Source organism: Homo sapiens, chromosome 20 (assembly GCF_000001405.40).
Source record: "Homo sapiens chromosome 20, GRCh38.p14 Primary Assembly".
Classification (NCBI taxonomy): Eukaryota; Metazoa; Chordata; class Mammalia; order Primates; family Hominidae; genus Homo; species Homo sapiens.
In genome coordinates this window covers 2,414,286-2,436,682 of record NC_000020.11, presented here as the reverse complement: position 1 = coordinate 2,436,682, position 22,397 = coordinate 2,414,286, and the positions used below count along the sequence as shown (strand labels likewise).

The 22,397-nt window shown below is 43.1% G+C and overlaps 1 protein-coding gene across 2 annotated transcripts in view; it reads right to left on the bottom strand.

Annotated features, from left to right (window-relative positions):
- Positions 3,930 to 22,397, bottom strand: part of TGM6 (transglutaminase 6) — a 51,853-nt gene continuing 33,385 nt past the window's right edge. The window contains exons 10-13 of one of the 2 annotated variants that reach the window (NM_198994.3): positions 19,110 to 19,451; positions 6,083 to 6,237; positions 5,656 to 5,789; positions 3,930 to 4,193 (exon numbers count right to left, since the gene is read on the bottom strand). In NM_198994.3, the coding sequence (NP_945345.2) occupies positions 4,040 to 4,193; positions 5,656 to 5,789; positions 6,083 to 6,237; positions 19,110 to 19,451 (785 nt within the window). In that variant the 3' untranslated portion in view covers positions 3,930 to 4,039. The remainder of the gene's footprint in view (positions 4,194 to 5,655; positions 5,790 to 6,082; positions 6,238 to 19,109; positions 19,452 to 22,397) is intronic. The other variant, NM_001254734.2, reaches the window with a different exon arrangement.

The following is a 22,397-nucleotide window of genomic DNA, read 5'->3' as shown; positions in this document are numbered from 1 at the left end:
ATCTCAGAATCAGCTTTCTAGGAACTCAGCCTGCAACAGCCGAGCTCGAGGCATACAGATAGCTGGCATTTGCTGGAAGGATGTGTCTGGAGCCATCACAAGGGGAAATGGATCTGGGACACGTGGAGCCTCCCTGCGGGAAGGAGCATCTTTATACGTGGAGTGGCAGATGGCCTCCTGTTCCAGGGAAGATGCTTACAGTGTTCCTTTCACTTGTGGCAGATGCATAATAGGAGAAAGGAACCCGCATGATGAGAGGAGGGATCCCTGGTCAGTCGCTCCATAAGGATTGGGCTATGAATGCAGATTCTCACAGAGTGACAGAGCTAAAAAATCCAGGGGGGTCACCATGCTTCTCAAATATTTCTACCCAAGTGTCTCAAAGGGAAAGGAAGGTGAGCGCAGATCCCTGGCTCAAGGACAGGCTGTCTTCACCCAGTGACCAGGGATATGGGGAAACTCAGATGAGAATGGAAATCCAAAGCTAAGGCCAGATCCATCTGGGACCTGAGTGAGTTCAGGGGTCAGCCAGAGCCTGAATCAGGTCTCAGTGTAGGCTCAGAGCTCAGTCTTGGATCAGAGCTCTGTTTGAGGTTCGGGCTTAGTCTGGGGTCAGGGTTCACTTAGGATTGGAGCTCAGTCATCTGAGGTTGGCATGAGAGCTCAGTCTGGGGTCGGTACTGTCTGGTACTGGACCAGGACTCCACGTGGAGCCCAAGCTCTGTCTAGAGCCAGAGTCAAGCCAGGATTTAGCTATGGTAGGATCCAGGGCTTAGTGTGAGGCCAAGGTCTGGGGCCCATCTGGCATCAGGGTCATGACCTAGTTAGCCTCTGAGTCACGGCCGTCTTTGGGGTCACGAGCACAAGCTGGAGCCTCATCCTAGTTTCAGTCCGAGGCTTGTTAAGGGCTTGGCCTTGGCTCAGGTTTAGGCTCGATGCTAGGGCAAGGTGTAGCCTGGTGTCAGAGCTCAGTCCTGGAGCAAGATTGGAAGCAATGTGTTGTCCTACGGCAAGGTCAGTCAACTACAACCTGTGGGCCAAACTTGGCCTGCCACCTGTTTTTGTAAGTAAAACTTTATTGCAACACATCCAGGCTCATTTGTTTATGCACTAAGTATGGCAGTTTTCATGCTATAGCAGCAGAGTTGAGTAGTTGTAACAGAGACTCTATGGCCTGCAAAGCCTGAAATATTTACTATCTGGTCATTGGCAGAAAAGTTTGCCAACCTCTGTTCTAAAGGTTTGGAGGCCCCTCTGGTATGTGAAAGCTCAGATCCCTGACCTAACTTGGTGTCAAGGGCCTTCATGAAGTTTCAGATAGTGTTTAAGAGACAGGGGGACTCAATGGAAGCAGGAGTCCTGAGACTCAGTAAAGCCCTGTTGCTGGTGTCCTTCTGAGTGTCCCATGGCCAGCCAATTCTAAGGCTTTTCTCAGTCTTGAACTACCTGTTCTGCCCTTCCTGTGTTAAGCACATGGTCAGGGTCTTGCCCTACCAGCTGAAAGGAATTCCCTACCTGCACATTTTTCTTTGTAATTTCCAAAACCACATTCCCACTCACACTCTCCCTTGGACTTCTAAGCTGTCTTCTGTCAATTTCTCTACCTCTCCCACTCACAAGCAGGGCTTTCTCATTGGCTGTTGGGGCGGCTTCTGCTTTCCACTGGGGCTGGAATAACCAGGGAGGCCACTTTTGTCCCATTAAAATGCTACTCGAAGGCACCAAGGGCAAGAGCGTTGTACTGGAAACAGAGCTATGTGGCAGGTGGCCCTCACCACCTTCAGCTACATTCCCCTCCCTAAACACCTACAAGGGGACTTCAAAAGGTTCATGGAAAAGTAACATTAAAACATAAACATAAAAAGTAGAAACTTTATTTCTCAACATGAGCTCTGTCAAGTTCAAGATATTTTTGTAAATAATAATACCTGCCATTTAGTCTATTCCTAAGTAACTGAGGGTCCAGGGGATTTAACCATGTCAACACAGTCTTTTTTTTTTTTTTAACACAATTAACTGAAGAAAAACGGGCACCCTTTAAAGATTTTGTTTTTAAGATTAGGAAACAGGCTGGGCCCAGTGGCTCATGCCTGTAATCCCAACACTTTGGAAGGCTGAGGCAGGAGGATCGCTTGAGGTCAGGAGTTTGAGACGCACCTGACCAACATGGTGAAATCCCATCTCTACTAAAAATGCAAAAATTAGCCGGGCGTGGTGGCACACGCTTGTAATCCCAGCTACTCAGGAGGCTGAGGCGGGAGAATCGCTTGAACCCGGGAGGCAGAGGTTGAGGTGAGCTGAGATCGCGCCACTGCACTCCAGCCTGGGCGGCAGAGCAAGACTCTGTCTCAAAAAAAAAAAAAAAAAAAGAGATTAGGAAATAAAAAGAAGTCAGATGGAGCCAAATCAGGACAGTATGGTGGATGCTTAATGAATTCCAGTCAACCCTCTCACAAAATTGCCTTTGTTTGATGAGAGGAATGAGCAGGAACATTATTGTCGTGGAGAAGGACTCTCTGGTGAAGCTTTTCTGGGTTTTTTTCTGAAAGCTTCAGCTAACTTTATCAAAACACTCGTAATAAGCAGGTGTTGTTACTCTTTGGTTCTCCAGAAAACCGACAAGCAAAATGTCTTGAGCATCCCAAAAAACAGTTTCTACAAGCTTTGCACCTGACCGGTCCACTTTTTTTTTTTTTTTGAGACAGAGTCTTGCTCCGTTGCCCAGGCTGGAGTGCAGTGGTGCAATCTCGGTTCACTGCAACCTTCACCTCCTGGGTTCAAGTGATTCTCCTGCCTTAGTCTTCCGAGTAGCTGGGATTACAGGCACACACCACAACACCTGGCTAATGTTTGTATTTTTAGTAGAGATGGGGTTCACCTGGCCAGGCAGGTCTTGATCTCCTGACCTCAAGTGATCCGCCCACCTCGACCTCCCAAAGTGCTGGGATTACAGGTGTGAGCCACCGCGCCTGGCCGGCTGGTCCACTGTTGCTTTGACTGAACCATTTCCCCCTCTTGGTAGCCATTGCTTCGATTGTGCTTTGTCTTTAGGACTGTATTGGTAAAGCCATGTTCCATCCTGTTACAATTCTTTGAAGAAATGCTTCGGGATCTTGATCCCTTGTTTACAATTTCCACGGAAAGCTCTGCTCTTGTTTGCAGCTGATCTGGGGGCAACAGTTTTGGCACCCATTGAATGAAACATTTTCTCAACTTTAATTGTTCGGTCAGAATTGTGTAAGTTGAGCCCTGTGAGGTGTTTGCTGTTGTTTGTGCTGTTAGTCACTGGCCCTCTTCAGATTTGGGGCTGCAGATTTTAGAGGAATGCAATCCAGTTTGGGCCCTTCCTTTATCTTCTTAAGATTATCCTAGGCAGCAATCGCCCCTCAGATCCTGGGCCTGTGTCTTCACTGAGGGAAAATCTCCCTTTGCTTAAAATCTAATGCTTTTTAGGATCGGGACTTAGGAGGTATAAATGGCACACACATGGGCCTCCACTCTGCCTCTAGCTCACCCTGTGGCCTCTGTAAGTTTCCTTCTTCTCTGTAATGGGAGTGTTGAGGGATGGTTAGGTTCCAGCTCTGATACTTTTGGATTCTCTGTCAGGACTGTGGGGAGGATCCTTGGCTCTTGATGTGGCCAGGGCATTTGAAAAGCAAGGAGAGTCCAAGGGTCAGCCAGGGTGACAGCGAGGTGGCAGGGTGGAAGATGGCAGAGCTGAGTGGGCCAGGGTTTCTCTGATGCTCGGGTCTGTCAACCTCCCAGCCATGGGGATGAGAGATGAAGGTTGGAGAGGCTCCCTCGGTTCTTACATCATCTATGGTTGTCCAAAAGTTTAAGGATTACTGAGTGCAACACTTCATTTTACAGAAGAGTAAACTGAGGCCCAGGAGGAGAAGGAACTTGCCTAAGTTTACAAAGTAGGGCAGAGGTTGAGGCAGGATTAACTGAGGCCTCCTGGCTCCCATGTGGAAGAGACAAAGAATGGGCAGGAGGAGGACAGGGGCCAAATCCACCCCTCTCAGTCCCTCATGATCCATCACTTGGCAGTGGCCACATGGACGATCACAAAGCCCTTGATGTCCGGGAAGTGAGGGCTTACAAGGTCCACCTGCAGCTGCCTTGGGCCACTTTTGGAGGGGGTGATGTCAAACTGGACTGAGGCCCTCTCCTGAGGCTCCAGGGTAGGCACGCTGGAGGAAGGGGAGGGGAGAAAGGCAGACTGTCAGTCCTCTTGCCATTCTGAGTCTGGCCTGCCAATCCACGGCTCCCCAGGCTCCTCAGGATCAAGTTCACCTTGTGGCTTGACATTCAAGCCTTATCAACATGTTTGCAGGCCAGGTGCGGTGGCTCACTCCTGTAATCCCAGCACACTGGGAGGCTGAGGCAGGTGGATCATCTGAGGTCAGGAGTTCGAGACCAGCCTGGCCAACGTGGTGAAACCTCATCTCTACTAAAATACAAAAATTAGCCGGGTGCAGTGGTGCACACCTGTAATCCCAGCTACTCAGGAAGCTGAGACAGGAGAATCGCTTGAACCTGGGAGGGAGAGGTTGCAGTGAGCCAAGACTGCACCACTGCACTCCAGCTGGGGCAACAGAGTGAGACTCTGTCTCAAAAACAAACAAACAAAAACAACAACCAAAAAAACATATTTCCAATTTAATTTTCTCTTCTACCACCCACACTCTTCCCATCTAGCCAGGCTAGTTTTCTGTCTGTGCCCTGAACTTCCCCCCTCTGGGCTTTCATCTGCTCTGTTCCACCTAGGATGCCTTTCTTATTCCAATCCACCCAAGGCCCAAATCAAGTTCTCTTTTTCCAGGAGACCTTCCCTGACAACACCAGCCATCAGGTGTTGACACCAAGACCTTTGCCTGGCAAACCGTCCTTACTTCTTGATACCTGAAAATCTCAATTCATCATTTAAGGCTCAGCTCAAACACCAGCTCCACTGGGACTTCTTCCTGGCCCCACCCTCACTTAAGGGCTGCTTTTGCTCCCCCAGACCTTGGACAAGATCTTTTTCACAAATCACACTGTCCTCATGTGAAGGGCCATCTGTATCTGAGAGCCCTTCTCCAGGCAAAACTGTTTCTGTCCATCTTAGTGTTCCTAACAATTACACATGGGCCAGAGTACAGGTCAGTATAATCAAGGACCACATGAGTTGCAAGTGGATGAATGGAAGAATGAAGGAGTGAATGAATGATTGACAATGAATAAGTAAATAAACGAATCCATGAACAAATGGGAACATGTGTGAATGAATGAGTGAAGCATAAATGTAGGAATAAGTGAATGAAAAAATGAACAAATGAGTGAATAAAGAGTAAGCAAATTGAAGAATGCATGAATGAATGAGTGAAAGAGAGCAAATGAATGAAAGTGAGTGAATAAATGGATAAATAAATGAAAGTATGAATGAATGATATGAGTGAATGACTGAGTGAATGAGTTATATGATTTGAGTAAATGAATGATTGGATGAATGAAGGAATAAATAAGTGAATGAAGGCTGATATGTATAGTCTGTGGGCTGGTTCCTGGGGTGTCCAGAATCTCTCTCACACCCCCATCCCTGGCAACTTCTCTCTGGCTCATCCACAAGGAAGAGAGCCCCATTCCCTGCCAGCCCCCCAGGCTGGCACTTACTCGATGCTGAGCTGTTCCTGGAGAAGGCCGCTGCCCTCCACCATCAGCGCACAGTCCTTCACTCTCTCTATGAGGGGGTTGACTACTGTCACTTCCACTGTAACTGCCACTCCCACCATGGCTGGGCCCAGAACCTGAAGGGGACAACACCCATGAGCCATCGCGCCTACCCCTCCTCCCTCCAGGAAACCGATGGTCCTGGCTGAGTTAGAGGATGGATCATTAGTCATGTCCACCCCCACCTCCATATACCCCATTGCTGAGTGCCACTATTGCACCCATCCCCTTATGTCCAACCCACTCCTCCCACCCTGGAGAGCTAAAGCTGGAGTTAAAGGCACAAACCCCCCCAGCTTCTGACGCCCTCCCCCAGCTCTGGGGAGTGGGTGCCACTAGGAACAGCATGGTAGATGCAGGCTGAGGTCACCTTGATGGTGATGAAGTCCTCTAGAGTAATGTCCTTCTCCACCAGAAGCTTCTCTCCTTTGGTGACAAGGCACATGGCAGCCAACAGGATCTTCTTGTCCTCTGTCAGGTCTTCTTTATACTTAGAGTAAGATATTGTAATTGGGATTCTCTTCTCTGGAAGGGAAAGCAGAAGTGGGAGTTGGGGCTTGATGTCTTTCTTCAATGGCACTGGGAAGAAGGAAGGGAATGCACAACTAATAGCTCCTTTCTCTCTGGTCCTTGCAACCATTCTGAGACAGGCTTTATTTTCCTCGGTTCTCAGATGAAGAAACCTAAGGCCCAGAGTGGGTATTTTCCTGTTCAAACTCATATAGGAAGTAAACCAAGAAATTAAGATGAGGTGGGAGTCAAATTTAGGTCAGGGAGCTACCACAATACCAGATAATTTCTCCAAGAGCCCCCAGAGATGTTTCCAAGCTTTCCCTACTTATTCAAGATGAAAATCTCTCAGCCCATCATCCATTCATCCCATCCTTCTCTGTTTATTGAGCACCTACTATGTGCTAGGAGCAGAGAAGAGGAAGACCAAAGGCATGCCTCAATCTTCCAATCCTGTGAGGCCAATTCCCTACAACTTTTCCAAATGCCCCCCTCCATGAAGGCCCAGTCCTGGTCAGCCCCACCAACTGAGGGAAGTCTTCACTGACACCTCCTCCCAGTGCTCTCATGCTCTCTGAGCTCCTGTGGTCCTGGCCATCTCTGTCTCCCTCTCACCAGTCAGAAACATCCTTCCTAGGTGTTCTTTTCTTGTAAGCATGGATCACCATAAACCTCAGTCTTTTTTTTTTTTTGGAGACGGAGTCTCGCTCTGTCGCGAGGCTGGAGTGCAGTGGCATGATCTCGGCTCACTGCAACCTCCACCTCCTGGGTTCAAGCAATTCTCCTGCCTCAGCCTCTTGAGTAGCTGGGACTACAGGCACATGCCACCATGCCCAGCTAATTTTTGTATTCTTAGTAGAGATGGGGTTTCACCATGTTCGCCAGGATGGTCTCGATCTTTTGACCTCATGATCCTCTCGCCTTGGCCTCCTAAAGTGCTGGGATTACAGGTGTGAGCCACCATGCCTGGACCATATTTGTTTTTTTTTTTTTTCTGACTACTATATATTCTTTCTTTTAGGTTCAATGTGCTCTTTCTGGTTTGCTCCCAGGCCCTCTCATTCCCTATTGTTCTACTCCCACTGCTTCCTTTATTTCTGTTTTCTTTCTGACTCTGAAGGCATCTGAGTTTTTAACTCATGGAAAAGGTCCTTAAAGGGCTCAACTTGGCTCATGCGCTCTGCTACCCCAGGGCTTTGCATATCGTAGATTCTCCTGAATGCCAGTAGGGTGATTCATGTGTTAAAGTATGATTTTGTTTTATGGGCTCCCTTAGTTCAGTAGGTCATTATTGGAAGAACCTTTATTACAATAACAGTAATAAATAATAATTATAGGCCGGGTGCCGTGGCTCACGCCTGTAATCCCAGCACTTTGGGAGGTGAAGGCGGGTGGATCACCTGAGGTCAGGAGTTCAAGACCAGCCTGACCAACATGTTGAAACCCTGTCTCTACTAAAAAAAATTACAAAATTAGCAGGGCGTGGTGTTGTGCCTATAATCCCAGCTACTTGGGAGGCTGAGGCAGGAGAATTACTTGAACCTAGCAGGCGGAGGTTGCAGTGAGCTGAGATTGCGCCACTGCACTCCAGCCTGAGCGACAGAGAGAGACTCTATCTCAAAATAACAATAATAATTATAATTATAAAAGCTAAGTTTTACTAAGGGATTAAAGTGTACTGCACTTGGAAGCGCTTTCACAGATTGACTTATTTAATCCTTACAACAATTCCATGAGCGGGTATTATTATTTTTATTTTATTGATTGATTTATTATGTTATTGATAATATATTATTATTGATAATAATATCAAAAACACTGATAATAAACATAAATTGAATGCTCATTAGGTAGTAAGAATGATGCCAAATACTTTATATACATTATATCATTTACTCCTTGCATGGTGATAGACCACGGTTCTCCAAGTGTGGTCCTGGGACCAGCAGCATCAGCGTCACCTGGGAACTTGTTAGAGATGTAAATTCTCAGTCTCCAGCATGAAGAACCATCATATGCCACCATATGATACACATGAGCAGAGCTTTGGGCATCAGCTCAGATCCTGGGAGAAAGGAGGAGAAAAGTAGCCCTTTAAAATGTTTGCATCAGGGCTTTTTGAAGTTCTCTGACTCATAGACACCACTAACAATCTAATAAAAGCTGAGACCCCTTTCCCTAGAACAATGGTTCTCAATAGCACCGTCACTCAGCTGGGCTAACTGACATCTGCAGAATATTTCATCCAACAACAGCAGGATACGCATTCTTCTCAATCTTACACGGAGCACTCACCAAAAAGGATCACATTCTGTGGCATAAATGACACATTAACAAGTTTAAAATAATAGAAATTATGCAATATATGCCCCCAGAACACAATGAAATCAAACTGGAAATCAATGACAGAAAGACAGCTGAAAAATCTAAAATACCTAGGGATTAAACAACACACTTCTAGAAGAACACATGGGACAAAGAAGAAGTCTTAAGAGAAATTTAAAAGTATTTCGAAGTAAATGAAAATGAAACTACAACTTATCAAAATTTGTGGGCACGTGCCTGTAGTCTCAGCTACTTGGGAGGCTGAGGAGGGAGAATCACCTGAGCCTGGGAAGTTGAGGCTACAGTGAGCCATGATTGTGCCACTGCACTCCAGCCTGGGTGACAGAACGAGACTCTGTCTGAAAAGCAAAACAAAACAAACAAACAAACACCCCTCCCCCAACACACAAACTTGTAGGTTGCAGCAAAAGCAGTGCTTAGAGAGAAGTCTATAATATTCAATACATATGATAGAAAAGAAGAAGGATCTAAATCCAATAATCTAAACTTCTGCTTTAGGAAACTATAAAAAGGAGAACACGTTAAACTCATCTTAAGCAGAAGAAAAGAAATAATAAAAATTAGAGCAGAAATCAGTAAAATTGAAAATCAGAGATCAATAGAGAAAATCACCAAAACCAAAAGCTGGTTCTTTGAAAAGATCAGTAAAGTCAATAAGCCTCTAGCAAGGCTAACTCAGAAAAAAAAGAGAGAAGGCACAAGTTACTAATATGATAAATGCAAGAGAGGACATCTCTACAGATTCCATGGACATTAAAAGGATAGTAAAGGTAACAAGTTTGGGGAGTTAGGAAAAAAACAGAGAGTAAAGGAATATTATGAACAACTTTATGCCCACAGGTTTGATAATCCAGATAAAAGGGACCAGTTCTTGAAAGAAAAAAATCTGCTAAAATTCACATAAGAAGAAACAGACAACATGAATAGGCCTATATCTACTAAAAAATGGAATCAGTACTTAATAACCTTCCAAACCAGAACACATTAATCCCAGATGGGTTCACTGGTGAATTATACCAAGAATTTAAGAAAAAAAAATTATAGCAATTCTCTACAATCTCTTCCAGAAAATGGAAGCAGAGAAATACTTCCTGATTCATTCTATGAGGCCAGCATTACCTTAATGCCAAAAACCAGACAAAGACATTGCAAGAAAAACAAAACTACAGACCAATATGAACATAGATGCAAAAATTCCCACAAAATATTGGTAAATTGAATTAACAATGTATAAAAAATTACATGCTATGATCAAGTGGGATTTATTCTAGGCATGTAAGGCTGGGTCAATATTAAAGGTCAATTAATATAGTCCATCAAATCAACAGGAAAAAATAACATGATCATATCAATAGATGCAGAAAAAGAATTTGATAAAATCCAACACCCATTCCTGATAAAGCTCTCAGCAAACTAGGAATAGAGGAGGAATTTACTCAACTTGATAAAGAACATCTACAAAAAACCTACAGCAAACATTGTCCTTATTGGTGACAAACTGGAAGCTTTCCCATGATGATTAGGAACAAGGCAAGGATGTCCCCTCTTACTATTCCTTTTCAACATCATATTGGAAGTCTTTGCTAATGCAATAAGATAAAACAAGGAAATAAAATGTATACAGATTGGGAAGGAAGAAATAAAACAGTCTTTGTTCACAAATGATATAATTGTTTATGTAGAAAATCCAAAAGAATTGTCAACAACAACAAACAAAAAATCCTGGAACTTATGAGTGGTAATAGCAAGGTTACAGGGTATAAGATTACTAATATACAGAAGTCAATCATTTTCCTATATACCAGCAATGAACAATTGGAAATTAAAATTAAAAACATAATACCACTTATGTTAGCACCACCAAAAATGGAACACTTAGGCATTAATTTAACAAAATATGTACAAGATCTACACAAGAAGAACTGTAAAACTCTGATGAAAGAAATCAAAAAACTAAATAAATGGAGAGATATTCCATGTTCATGGATAGAAAGGCTCAATATTGTCAAAATGTCAATTTTTCCTAGCTTGATCTATAGATTCAATGCAATCTGAAGAAGTTATTTTGTGGATATTGACAAACTGATTCCAAACTTTATGTGTGGGTGGGAGGCAGGAATGAAGAGAAGTTGGATAATGGGTACAAGATAGTTAGAAAGAATAAGTTCTAATATTTCATAACACAGTAGGGAAATTATAGTTAATAATGATTTATGGTACCTTTCTAAATAGCTAGAATAAATTGTATAGTTTCGAACACGAAGAAAAGATACAGATAAATGTATAAGGTGATGGATATCCCAATTACCCTGATTCGATTGTTACACATTCTATACATGTATCAAAATATGTGTACCCACAAAATATGTATTACTAATATATATCAATTAAGATTTTTTTAAAGAACCATGACATAAAAAAGTTTATGTCAAGAGGCAAAAGACCCAGAGTAGTCAGTACAATTGTACAATTGTACATTATTGAAGGAGAGGAACAAAGTTAGAGGACTGGCACTACCTGACTTCAGGTACCTTTAAGATTTACTATAAAGGTACAGTCATCAAGACAGTGTGGTATTAGTGAAAGAATGGACAAAGACAGGCATACCTTATTTTACTGTGCTTCATTTTATTGTACTTTGCAGATATTGCATTTTTTACAAATTGAAGTTTTGTGGCAACCCTGAGTCAGGCAACTCTATAAGAGCCATTTTTCCAAGAGCATGTGTTTGCTTCTATGATCAGTGATCTTTTTTTTTTTTTCTTTAAGACAAGGTCTTGCTCTGTCACCCAGGCTGTAAGTGCAGTGGTGTGATCATAGCTCACTGCAAACTTCCAGCTCTTGGGCTCAAGCAATCCTCCTGCCTCAGCCTCCAGGTAGCTAGGACTATGGGAGCATGCCACCACACCCAGCAGGTATTTTTTATTTTAATTTTTTGTAGAGATGGGGTATTGCTGTGTTGCCCAAGCTGGTCTCAAACTCCTAGGTTCAAGCAGTTCTCTCACTTTGGCCTCCAAAAGTGAATGGGATTGGGATTACATATATGAGCCCCTGTGCCCAGCCCTTGATCAGTGATCTTTGAGGCTACTATTGTAACTGTTTGTTAGCACCACAAACCATGCCCTGTAAGATGTTGAACTTAATTAAAAAATGTCATGTGAGTTCTGACTGCTCCACCGACTGGCCATTTCCCTATCTCTCTCCCTGTCCTTGGGCCTTCCTATTCCCGGATACACAATAATATTGAAATTAGGCCAATTAATAAACCTACAATGGCCTCTAGGTGTTCAAGTTAATGAGAGTTACATGTCTCTCACTTTAAGTCAAAAGCTAGAAATGATTAAGCTTAGTGAGGAAGGCACATAGAAAGCCAAGATGGGCCAAAAGCTAGGCCTCTTGTGCCAAACAGCAAGGTTTTGAATGCAAAGGGAAAGTTCTTGAAGGAAATTAAAAGTGCTACTCTTGAAGGAAACTAAAAGTGACATAGGAATGATAAGAAAGCAAAATAGCCTTATTGCTAATATGGAGAAAGTTTTAGTGATCTCCATATAAGATCACACCAGCCATAACATTCCATTAAGCCAAAGCCTAATCCAGAGCAAGGCCCTGATTCTCTTCAATTCTATAAGGATTGAGAGATGTTAGGAAGCTACAGAAGACAAGTTTGAAGCTAGCACAGGTTGGTTCATAAGGTTTAAGGAAAGACGCCATCTCTATAACATAAAAGTGCAAGCTGAAGCAACAAGTGCTGATGTAGAAGCAACAGCAAGTTATGCAGAGACTCTAGCTAAGATCATTGGTGAAGATGGCTACATAAAACAACACATTTTCAATGTAGAAAAAATAGCTTTATATTGGAAGAAGATGCCATCTAGGACTTTCATAGCGGGACAGAAGTCAATGCCTGGCTTCAAAGTTTCAAAGGAGAGGCTGACTCTGTGCATTAAGGAGCTAATGCAGCTGGTGACTTTAAGTTGAAGCCAATGCTCATTTAAATTTCTAAATCCTAGGGCCCTTAAGAATTATGCTAAATCTACTATGCCTGTGGTCCATAAAGGAACAACGAAGCCAGGATGATAGCACATCTGTTTATAGCATGGTTTACTGAATATTTTAGGCCAACTGTTGAGACCTACTGATCAGAAAAGAAGATTCTTGTCAAAGTATTACTGCTCATTGACAATGCACCTAGTCACTCAAGAACTCTGATGGAGGTGTACAATGAGATTAATGTTATTTTCATGCCTGTTAACATTCATTCTGCAGACCATGAATCAATGAGTAATTTTAACTTTCAAGTCTTTTTATTTAAGAAATACATTTCATAAAGCCATAGCTGCCATAGATAGTGATTCCTCTAATGGATCTGGGCAAAGTCAATTGAAAACCTTCTGGAAAAGATTCACCATTCTAGACACCATTAAGTATATTCATGATTCATGGGAGGAGGTAAAAATATCAACATTAATAGGAGTTGGAAAGAAGTTGATTCCAACTCTTATGGATGACTTTGAGGCATTCAAGATTTCAATGCAGGAAGTCACTGATGATGTGGTGGAAACAGCAAGAGAATTAGAGTGCAGCCTAAAGATGTGACTGAATTGCTCCATCTGATGGTAAAACTTGAACAGATGAAGAGTTGCTTCTTATGTGTGAGCAAAGAAAGTGTTTTTCAAAGATGGAAACTACTCCTGGTGAAGATGCTCTAAACGTTGTTGAAATGGCAACAAAAGATTTTGAATATTACATAAACTTAGTTGATAAAGCAGTGGCAGGGTTTGAGAGGATTGACTCCAAGTTTGAAAGAGGTTCTACTGTGAGTAAAATGCTATCGAACACCATCGCATACTACAGAGAAATCCTTCGTGAAAGGAAGAAAGTCATTCAATGTGGCGAATTTCGTTGTTGTCTTATTTTAAGAAATTGCCACAACCACCCCAACCTTTGGCAACCACTACCCTGGTCAGGTAGTAGTGTTGCGATGGTGTTTGATAGCATTTTACTCACAGTAGAACTTCTTTCAAACTTGGAGTCAATCCTGTCAAACCCTGCCACTGCTTTATCAACTAAGGTAGCAGCCATCAACATTGAGGCAAGACCTTCCACCAGCAAAAAGATTATGACTCAGTGAAGGTTCAGATGGTTAACTTTTTTTTTTTTTTTTTGAGAAAGAGTCTCCCTTTGTTACCCAGGCTGGAGTGCAGTGGCAGGATCTCAGCTCACTGCAGCCTTGAACTCCCGGGCTCAAGTGATCCTCCCACCTCACTTTTGAGTAGCTGAGACAACAGGTGTGTACCACCATGCCTGGCTAATTTTTTTTGTTTTCTTCCTTTATTTATTTTTTTTGTAGAGATGGGGTTTCACCATGTTGCCCAGGTTGGTCTTGAGCTCTTGAGCTCAAGTGATCCTTCTGCCTCAGCCTCCCAAAGTGCTGGGATTACAGGTATGCACCGCCTGTGCCTGGCCCCGATTGTTAGCATTTTATAGCCGTAAAGTATTTTAAAATTAAGGTGTATATATTTTTTAAAAGAAATAATGCTATTGCACGCTTTATAGACTACAGTATAATGTAAATATAACTTTTATATGCACTGGGAAACCAAAACATTTGTGTGACTTGCTTTATTGCAATATTCCTACTATTGTGGTTGTCTGGAACCAAACCTGCAATATGTCTGAGGTATGCCTCTAGATCAATGGAATAGAAGAGAGTTCAGAAATAGACCTGCACAAACATAGTCAGTTGATCTTTGACAAAGTAGCAAAGGAAATACAATGGAGAAAAGATAGTCAACAAATGGTGCTGAAGCAACTGGATATCCACACGGGGAAAAACAATCTAGACACAGGCCTTACATTCTTTACAAAATGTACTAAACTGAATCATTGACCTAAATGTAAAATGCAAAACTACAGAACTCTTAAAGATAACATGGGAGAAAATCTAGATGACCTGAGATTGGTAATATATATATATTTTTTTGAGATGGAGTCTTGCTCTATCGCCCAGGCTGGAGTGCACTGGTGTGATTTTGGCTCACTGCAACCTCCGCCTCCCGGGTTCAAGCGATTCTCCTGCCTCAGCCTCCCGAGTAGCTGGGATTACAGGCACCCACCACCACGCCCAGCTACTTTTTGTGTTTTTAGTAGAGATGAGGTTTCACCATGTTGACCAGGCTGGTCTCAAACTCCTGATCTCAAGTGATCCACCTGCTTCAGCCTCCCAAAGTGCTGGGATTACAGCCGTGAGCCACCACATCCAGCCGGTAATTTTTTTTGATACAATACCAAAGGCATGATCCATGAAAGAAAAAATTGATAAGTTGGACTTTATTAAAACTAAAAACTCTGCACTGCAGAAAACACTGTGAAGAGACTGGGAAGAGAGGACACAGCCTGGGAGAAAATGTTTGCAAAAGACATCCGATAAAAGACTGTTATCCAAAATACACAAAGACCTTTTAAAAACCAGCAATGAGAAAATGAACAACCCGATTAAAATATGGGCAAAAGACCTGGACACCTCACCAAAGAAGAGATAGAGATGTCAAATAAGTATATGAAAAGATGCTCAATGTCATATGTCATTAGTGAATAGTAAACTCTGATATACTATTACACACCTATTACAATGTCAGTAATCCAAAACACACAATACCATCTGCTGGATAGAATAGGGAACAACAGGAATGCTCATATATTCCTGGTGGGAATTCAAAATGATACAGCCACTTTGGAAGACAGTTTGTCAGTTTCTTACCAAAACATACTCTTACCATAAGGTGCAGCAAGTGTGCTCCTTGGTATTTATCTAAAGAATTTAAAATTCGAGCCGGGCACGGCGGCTCATGCCTGTAATCCCAGCACTTTGGGAGGCCGAGGCAGGTGGATCACGAGGTCAGGAGATCAAGACCATCCTGGCCAACATGGTGAAACCCTGTCTTTACTAAAAATACAAAAATTAACTAGGTGTAGTCGTGTGTGCCCGTAATCCCAGCTACTCGAGAGGCTGAGGCAGGAGAATCACTTGAACCCGGGAGGCGGAGGTTGCAGTGAGCCAAAATCGCACCACTGCACTCTAGCCTGGTGACGGAGCGAGACTCTGTCTCAAAAAATAAAAAAAAAAAATTAAAAACTCAAGCCCACACAAAAACCTGCATAAGGATGTTTACAGCAGCTTTATTCATAATTGCCAAAACTCGGAATCAACCAAGAAGTCCTTCAGTAGGTGAATGGATAAACTGTGTACATCCATATAATGGAATACTATTTTGCAATAAGAAGAAATGACCCATCAAGACACAAAAACCGTAAGGGATCCTTAAATACATATTGCTAAGTGAAAGAAGCCAATCTGAAAAAGCTTAATTACACTGTATGATTTCAACTAGATGACATCATGAAACAGGCAAAAGTGTGGAGACAGTAAAAAGATCAGTGGTCACTGGGGGTTCAGGCAAGGGAAGGAGGGATGAATAGGTGGAGCACATAGCTGGAACATGGGGATATTGGAGGGGTGAAACTATTCTGTATGACAGTGGAATGTTAGATACATGTCATTATACATTTGTCAAAAGCCATAGAATGCACAACACAGAGTGAACCCTAATATTAACTATGAATTTTAGTTAATAATACTGTGCCAATATTGGCTCATTAATTGTAACAAATGTACCACACTAAAGCAAGATGTTAATAACAGGAGGAGAGGCGTGGTGGTGGACAGGGGTATGGGAACTCTCTGTACTTCCCACTCAAAGTTTTCTGAAAACCTAAAACTACTTAAAAACCTAATAATTTAATAAATTATATGTTTTAATAGTCTATCATTTGGCCAAAGAATTTCACTTTTTTTTTTGTTTGTTTTTTTAGACAAGAGTCTCTCTCTGTTGCCCAGGCTGGAGTGCAGTGGCGCGATCTCGGCTCACTGCAAGCTCTGCCTCCTGGGTTCACGCCTTTCTCCTGCCTCAGCCTCCTGAGTAGCTGGGACTACAGGCGCATGCCGCCACGCCCGGCTAATTTTTTTGTATTTTTAGTAGAGATGGGGTTTCACTGTGTTAGCTAGGATGGTCTCCATCTCCTGACCTCGTGATCCACCTGCCTCGGCCTCCCAAAGTGCTGGGATTACAGGCGTGAGCCACTGCGCCTGGCCCAAGAATTTCACTTTTGTGATACAGTCTAACAAAAGTCCAAAATCCAGAGGAAAAAAAGTGATTTCTTTTTGCATCAAAATGTTCACTTGCTTACCTGACACTCTGTAGATAAACAAAAGTTTAGTGTTATTTTTAATAGCAATAAGCTGATAACTACCTAAAAGAAAACATAGGTCACCATATATTTATTTAAAGATCTGTTAAATTCTATTTATTTAAATATCTATTAAAATGATGTTTGTGAGGAGCTTATAAAAATATTTAAAATACAATGCAATATGAAAAGAGCAGGGCATTAATGACTATTTGCAATATTTAACCAGAACTGTTTTTCAAAAAGCAAACAGGCATTAAGGATTTGGAAGTAAAATACATTAACAGTTTGTAGGTGGGTGGTAGAATCATAGGTGATTTTTCTCTTTTGCTTTCCAAATTTTTATGAATATGTATTACTTTTAATATGAAAAAAATTGCTGAAAGCCAGAGGGAAGTGTGTGTTAATTAAAATTTTATGATGAAGTGTTATTTTGTGATTTAGACTTTGTGAAAAATAAATGACAAAAAAAGCTAAAAAAGTGTGACACCTCCTTCATACATTTTCACACCCTGCGAAAATCCACAAGCTTCACTTACCAGAAACTGGCCCAGAGCAACAATTTCTTTGTTTAATTGAATCCTTAGAATTCAGAAAGTATGTGAAAGGAGAGAGAGGCAAAGGAGAGATAGAGATACAGAGATAGACTGAGAGAGATAGAGAGACAGATGAAAAAGCCAAAGGGACAGAGACAGAGAGACAGACAGGGAAGGAGAGACAGATGGAGAGGGAGATACCGGCAAAAAGACAGACAGACAGACTAGGAAAAAAGTGCAAGAATAATCAAAGAGGATACATTTAATAAATCATCCACGAAGTGCTATGTGTTCAAGGATCACGAAAAAATCCTTTAACCTCCGCTTCCTGGGTTCAAGTGAGTCTCCTGCCTCAGCCTCCTGAGTAGCTGGGACTACAGGCGTGTGCCACCATGCCCGGCTAATTTTCTTGTATTTTTAGTAGAGATGGGGTTTCACTGTGTTAGCCAGGATGGTTTCGATCTCCTGACCTCGTGATCCACCCGCCTTGGCCTCCCAAAATGCTAGGATTACAGGCGTGAGCCACCGCGCCCGGCCTCAATATATTTTTAAAGAAACAGTTGGAATAAGGTCAGTTAAAAAAATACAAAAACCTTTAAAAAGACTGAAACCATTCTCTTCTGCTATGAAATACTAAGGATAAATTTTAGGCAAATGTACCATTAGGTGTGTTGAGCATATCTGGTGTGGGCTGACCTGACCATTCCATAACCTGCAGTCAAGCAATTGCATCAGCTGAGTAAATGTGCACTGTGGTCAACGTTCCTGGCTTTGAACCCTGGCTTTGCCCCTTCCTGGTCTTGGTCAGGAGTGTGTCTCTCATGCCAGACTGCCTGGATTTGGGTCCTGCAACTATGCACACTGACTGTGTGACTCTGAACTCGTGACTTCACCTTTCTTGGTGTGAGTTTTCTCCTTTCAAAGATGGAGCTAGCACTAGTACCACACACAAGGTGGCTGGAGGGATTGTGCCGTCGCATGCAGAATTCTTGGGACAGGACTTGGCACATTTAAGCACTTAGTAAACATCTCTGGCCTGGTGCCGTGGCTTAAGCCTGTCATCCCAGCACTTTGGGAGGCCAAGGCGGGCAGATCACTCGAGTCCAGCCTGGGCAACATCATGAAACCCCCTCTCTACTAAAAATACAAAAATTATCTGGGTGTGGTGGTGCACGCCTGTAGTCCCAGCTACTCAGGAGGTTGAGGCAAGAGAAGCCCTTGAACCCGGGAGGTGGAGGTTGCAGTGAGCTAAGATCACACCACTTCACTCCAGCCTGGGTGACAGAGTGAGACTCTGTCTCAAAAAAACCCGAAAACCAAAACAAAGAAAACCATCTGTTACCAGTCCAGCCCTCTCCCACAGAACACCTGGAGCCAAATGGGCTCCAGATTTTTTTGGATTTTAGAAAAGTAATGCATGGCATATTCCATATATGCTGAAATACCCCCAGCATGTATTTATTTGGTGTGTAAATATTCATTCTAATTAAAAAAATAGAAACTATAAATCACATCTTCATCAGATTGCCACCAGATGCATGTGGACTTGCATTACTGTTATTAGTGTTTTGCCCCTCCGAGTCTCAGTTTTCTCATCTGTAAAGTCGGGACAAGAGGCAAGGCACTGAGCACAATGCTCAGGAATGTCCCCTTCCTTCCTGGGGATGAATGCAGTCCTGGGAAATCCCTCTGACCTCCACAACCCTCCTGAAAAAGGAGGTGGTTTGGCCTGATTCCACCAAGCCAGCGTACACTTACCTTCTTGCGGCCCCAGCCTCACGGCGTGGGATTCATGCAGGATCTCTGCCACTGGCTTGCGGGTATAGAGGATGGTGGCACCGCTCAGGTTGACCCTCACCCGCTGGGCCCGGGAGGTGAGGTTGGCCAAGCACAGGGCCAGTCTCAGGTCGTGGCCCAGCATGGGAGGCTCTAGCACCTTGAACTTGCCAGCGATGCTGGGCTTGGTGGCAGGCTCCAGGAGGTCGTCACGCCAGAGACAGCGACCCCCAGCCCTGCGGATCCAGATTCTCCTTCCAGAGGCTTCCACGCCGAACAGCCTGTTCACCGCCTTGCTGTACACCTGCCTCTCTTTCCGGGACCCTGCAGGGCATCACACAACGTCAGCGGCAGGCACCCCCTTGCTCCTTTAATTTACTATGGCTCATGGAAGTCAAACTGGCAGTTCAAGAGCCATATGCACACCGGCGCCACATGCCTTGTGTTTGATTCTCTATGTAAATAAAGTTTTAAATCAGTTGCCAGGAAATTTCACATAAAAATGCAAATTTCCAGCTTCTCTGAGAGCTGGGTCAAAAGCCTCAGATAATAATGATAGCTAGCACTTTTGCAGATTTGCTATGTGTACTATAGCACTTGGTGCTATATTTTTTTTCTCTAGGAGGTACTACAGAGGTATTATCATCACCCACATTTAACAGACAAGGAAGCCGAGACACAGGGAAGTAAAGTAACTCCTCAATCACACAGCTTATGTGGTAAGTGAGGGAGCTGGGACTTGAACCAGGCAGTAAAGCTCCAAATTCCATTCATGCTCCCTTACCACTCTCTACATGGCAATAATGGTCTTGAGGCAGGAGGCGGGACTTGACTCAGGAGCTGGGGCTCAAACTCAGGACTAGATTATAGACGAATGGAAACAGGGAGGAGGCAAAAGCACTTCTCTATAAGACATGCCCACCAGTGCTATGGCAACACCCAGAACTTACTACCCCTTTTCAAGGCAATCACCTGGAAGTTACCACCCTTTTCCTAAAAATTTCTGCATAATCTGCCCTTTAATTTGCATGTAATTAAAACTGAGTATAAATATGATTACAGAACTGTAGGGTATAACAACTTCATTCTTTTGCATGTGGGTATACAGCGGTCCCAACACCATTTATTGAAAAGACTATTTTTATTCTTTCTCCATTGAATTGTCTTGACACCCATGTAGAAATCAATTGAACATAATTTTAAGGGCTTCTTTTTGGACTCTTAGTTCAATTTCTTTGATCTATATGTCCCTTCTTATGCCAATGTCACACTGTCGGGGTTTCTGTATATTTGTAGTACTTTTTGTTTGTCTGTTTGTTTTTGAGACAGGATCTCACTCTGTCACTCAGAGCTGCTATGCTGGGCATACTGCCTATGGGGTAGCCCTGGCCCACAAGGAGCAGCACCTTTGCTGTTGCTGCACACTGCTGCTTTAAGAAAAGTTGCTAACACCACTGGCTCATCCTTGAATTCTTTCCTGGGTGATGCCAGGAACCCTCCTGGGCTAAGCCTGCATGCCCTACCTCAGTCTAGAGTTGAGCAATAGCAGCCCCCCCTAGAGGGAACGCACTCTCTTGTTGTCCATGGTCTTCACCCTGTAATTCTCACTCATGGGGTTCTATCGGTGGGGCTCCTGTAGACATGTGAGTTTAGGGCCCCTGATACACCACTTTCCCCACTGCTAGTGCAGACCTCTCTTTTGAGCTCCAGAACAATACAAAGAACTGGACAGCGCCCCCCAGGTGTCTCACAGGTGCCTCAAATCCAACCAAACCCACCAACTGCGCAGCAGCATTCCTCATCCCAGCCAATGGTGCAGCCATGAGCCCGGGTGTACAAGCCAGAAGCCTGGGAGTGTTCTTGACTCTTCTCTCACCTTTATCACTCACAACAGAGCCCTCACCAGGTCCTGCTGAGCATCCTCCTTAGGCTCTGGAATCTGTCCTCTTCTCTCACCTCTCTTCCCCCATCAAACCACCATACAAACTGCCTCACCATGAGGTCAGTGTGTGAACTTTTATTACTGTTTTCATTAATCTGTCCCGGCAAGCTTTAGTTTTCCTATCTGTAAAGTGGGGACAAGAGGCCCACAAGCAAGGCACTGAGCAGGATAATCAAGAACATCCCCTCCCTTCCTGGGAATGTAGGATCCATCCCATTCCAGTTCTGTTTCCACTCTGATGATTCCAAAGTCCAATTCTGATGGTTCTCCTTCCCTATTTGAAACCTGTGGCATGTGGTCTTCACACCACTCTCCCCTGAAGGTACCCTGATACTGTGTGACCCTGGTCTGATCACTTGGTGGTCACTTGATGTTGCTGTGAACACCAAGGTTCTTTAACATTCCATGTTTTATTATTAAAATGTATGTGAGTTCTGCTACTGTACAATATATTTTTACTATGAAAATGTTTCATTTCCCTGCCAAAGAATGTAATGCCACCTTCTCATGGAGGCCTTCTCTGACCACCTGATTTTTTAAACAACTTTATTGAGATATAATTCCATAACACACAATTCACCCATTTTAAGAGTGCAATTCAATGTTTCTTAGTAGTTCACAGAATTGTGCACCCCGTCACCACAATCTAATTTTAGAACGTTTTTTCACCCCCCCCCCCAAATTCTGTAACCATCAGGAGTCACTTCCCATTCCTCCCCACCCCAACCCCAGCCCTAGGCAACCACTAATATAATTCATAATTTGCCTATCCTGGACATTTCATATAAAGGGAATCATACAACACGTGGTCTTTTGTGAAATTTTTCCGCTTAACATCAGTTTTCAAGGTTCGTTCACACTGTAGGTAGCATGTATCAGTACTGCGTTCCTTTTTATTTCTGACTAGCATTCCATTGGATGGATATACATTTTATTTATCTATTGATGGGTATTTGAGCTGTTTCTACTTTTTATCTATTTTAAATAGTGTTTCTATAAATATTCATGTAAAGTTTTTGTGTGGGTGTTTGTTTTCATTTCTCTTGGAAATGTAGCTGGGAGTGCAGTTGCCGGGTCATGGTAACACTATGTTTAACATTTTGAGAAACTGTCAAAGTGTTTTCCAAAGTGGCTGCACAATTGTAAATTTCCACCAGCAATGTATGAGTGTTTCAATTTCTCCACATCTTCACCAACACTAATTGTCTATCTTTTTGATGACGGTAGTTCTAGTGGATGTGAAGTGGTATCTCATTGTGGTTTTGACATGCATTTTCCTAATGACTTAATGATGTTAAGCATCTTTTTATGTGCTTATTGGCCATTTG